This window comes from Homo sapiens, chromosome 4 (assembly GCF_000001405.40).
Source record: "Homo sapiens chromosome 4, GRCh38.p14 Primary Assembly".
In the NCBI taxonomy this organism is placed as follows: domain Eukaryota; kingdom Metazoa; phylum Chordata; class Mammalia; order Primates; family Hominidae; genus Homo; species Homo sapiens.
This window is the reverse complement of record NC_000004.12, coordinates 24499423-24501976: the sequence shown is the minus strand read 5'-3', so window position 1 is coordinate 24501976 and position 2554 is coordinate 24499423. Positions and strand designations below refer to the sequence as shown.

The 2554-nt window shown below is 49.6% G+C and overlaps 2 annotated features.

Annotated features, from left to right (window-relative positions):
- Positions 508 to 1107: an enhancer, noted in NCBI's record as "OCT4-NANOG-H3K27ac-H3K4me1 hESC enhancer chr4:24502493-24503092 (GRCh37/hg19 assembly coordinates)". NCBI's record gives its function as "activates a minimal SCP1, AML or CMV promoter by ChIP-STARR-seq in naive and primed H9 embryonic stem cells {active_cell/tissue: H9 hESC(naive and primed)}" and the evidence as "EXISTENCE:reporter gene assay evidence [ECO:0000049][PMID:30033119]".
- Positions 1108 to 1709: an enhancer, noted in NCBI's record as "NANOG-H3K27ac-H3K4me1 hESC enhancer chr4:24501891-24502492 (GRCh37/hg19 assembly coordinates)". NCBI's record gives its function as "activates a minimal SCP1, AML or CMV promoter by ChIP-STARR-seq in primed H9 embryonic stem cells {active_cell/tissue: H9 hESC(primed)}" and the evidence as "EXISTENCE:reporter gene assay evidence [ECO:0000049][PMID:30033119]".

The following is a 2554-nucleotide window of genomic DNA, read 5'->3' as shown; positions in this document are numbered from 1 at the left end:
GGGTACTTGTCCTGTCCCCGGAAAGGCAGAGAAGGGGTAGAGACAAGGAGAGAAGGGGTTGGGGTACTTGCACCTTCCCCAGAAAAGTGGGACTTGCCGCTAAGGGTGAAGGACCAAGGCAGGCGTCCCTGCATGGTCTGACACCCTTGAAACGTGGGTGTATAATCAGAGAGGCGTCCCTGAAATGATTAAACACCAAGGGAAGGCTGCCTTCCCAGTCCGTGACCGGCGCCGGAGTTTTGCGTCCACGGATAAAACGTGTCTCCTTTGTCTCTACCAGAAAATGAAAGGAATTGAAATTAAGAGAAGGGAGAGATTGAAGTATGGTGCCAAGATTGAAAGGAGAAAGAGGTTGAGGGATAGTGAGGGAGGTTGGAGAAGAGAGTAAAAAGAGGCCGCTCACCGGATTTGAAATTGGTGAGATGTTTCTTGGGTTGGTCGGTCTGAGGACCTGAGGTCGTAGGTGGATCTTTCTCACGGAGCAAAGAGCAGGAGGACGGGGGATTGATCTCCCAAGGGAGGTCCCCCGATCCGAGTCACGACACCAAACTTCATGCACGTCCGTGTGAAGAGACCACCAAACAGGCTTTGTGTGAGCAACATGGCTGTTTATTTCACCTGGGTGCAGGCGGGCTGAGTCCGAAAAGAGAGTCAGGGAAGGGAGATAGGGGTGGGGCCGTTTTATAGGATTTGGGTAGGTAAAGGAAAATTACAGTCAAAGGGGGTTTGTTCTCTGGCGGGCAGGAGTGGGGGTCGCAAAGTGCTCAGTGGGGGTAATTTTTGAGCCAGGATGAGCTAGGAAAAGGACTTTCACAAGGTAATGTCATCACTTAAGGCAAGGACCGGCCATTTACACTTCTTTTGTGGTGGAATGTCATCAGTCAAGGTGGGGCAGGGCATATTCACTTCTTTTGTGATTCTTCAGTCATTTCAGGCCATCTGGGCGTATACATGCAAGTCACAGGGGATGCGATGGCTTGGCTTGGGCTCAGAGGCCTGACACCTGGGAGGCAGAGGTTGCAGTGAGCCAAGATTGCACCACTGCACTCCAGCCTGGGCGACAGAGCTAGACTCCGTCTCAAAAAAAAAAAAAAAAAGAAAGACTCATCCAGGACTTCAACAAGGGCACTGAGACATAGTCCTTCTCCTCCTCTTGCCTCTGCTTTCCTCTGTGTTGGCTTTGTTTTCAGGCTCCTCTTAGGGACACCAGTAATCATCTACTTCATTGCCAGCTGTCTCAGCTGAAAAGACAGAGGCTCTTCCTGGGAGCCCCGGTCCTGGGATGCATCAGCTGAGGTCTGCACTTGCCCCTGAGCCAAGCACTTCAGCCAGGGAGCTGGAACTTTGCTGACTGCCAGGCTGGGTCCTGCACCTCACTCTGGACAGGGGTAGAGCCCCACATGACTCATATGACCTGAGAGGAAGGGAGAAGGGGTTCCTTAAAGGAATATGGAGTGCCGCTGTTTCTGGCTCTGGAGCCAGGCAGTGGGATTTTGGGCAATTCATCTCACAATGCCTGTTTCCTCATGCATAAAATAGGAAGAACAATAATAATAGTATTCAACACACAGCGATGTTCTGAGTGCTGGAAGTATCTTAGCCCATTCAGGCTGCTATAATAAGACACCATAAACAGGTGGCTGATAAACAACAGAAATGTGTCCTAGTTCTGGAGGCTGGGAAGTCCAAGATTGAGGCACTGGCAGATTCAGTGCCTGCTTTCTGGTTTTTGCATGGCACCTTCTCACTGTGTCCTCATGTGGTGGAAGTGGCAAGCTAGCCCTCTGAGGCCACTTTTATTAGGGCACTAATCCCATGAATGTGGGCTCCCCTGTCACGATCTAATTCACCTCCCAAAGGCCCCACCTACCTCCTAATATTTAATATTAACACCTTGGGGGTTAGACTTTCAACATGTAAATTTTGGCAGGGGACACAAACATTCAGACCATAGCATAGAGTTAACACAATGTACTTAGAACATTCACCAATCCATGTAAAGTACTCCATAAATGCTTGCTATTAGTACAGCAAGCTCAATTTTTTTTTTTTTTTTTGAGACAGAATCTCAGTCTCACTCTGTCTCACAGGGTGGAGTCCAGTGGCGTGATCTCAGCTCACTGCAACCTCCATCCCCCTGGTTCAAGCAATCCTCCCACCTTGGCCTCCCCGGTAGCTGGGATTACAGGCATGTGCCACCACACCTGGCTAATTTTTATATTTTTTGTGGAGACTGGGGTTTCCCCATGTTGGCCAGGCTGGTCTCGAACTCCTGACCTCAAGTGATCTCCCTGCCTTGGCCTCCCAAATTGTTGGGACTGCAGGCGTGAGCCACCGCGCCCAGCCTCGATATTTTTGATACTGTAGAAGCTTTCCCTCCAACAGATTGGAACTGGTTGGTTAGTTAATAAAATGATGAATCTTTAAAAGTGTTACGCTCCTTCCATATTTAAGTTTAAAAGCATAAATAGGCCTGAGGCCATCTGGCAGGGCTGGGAGGAGGGCGAGGCAGGTCAGAAATAAGAGCACAACATTTAATGAGGCGCTTGCTCTC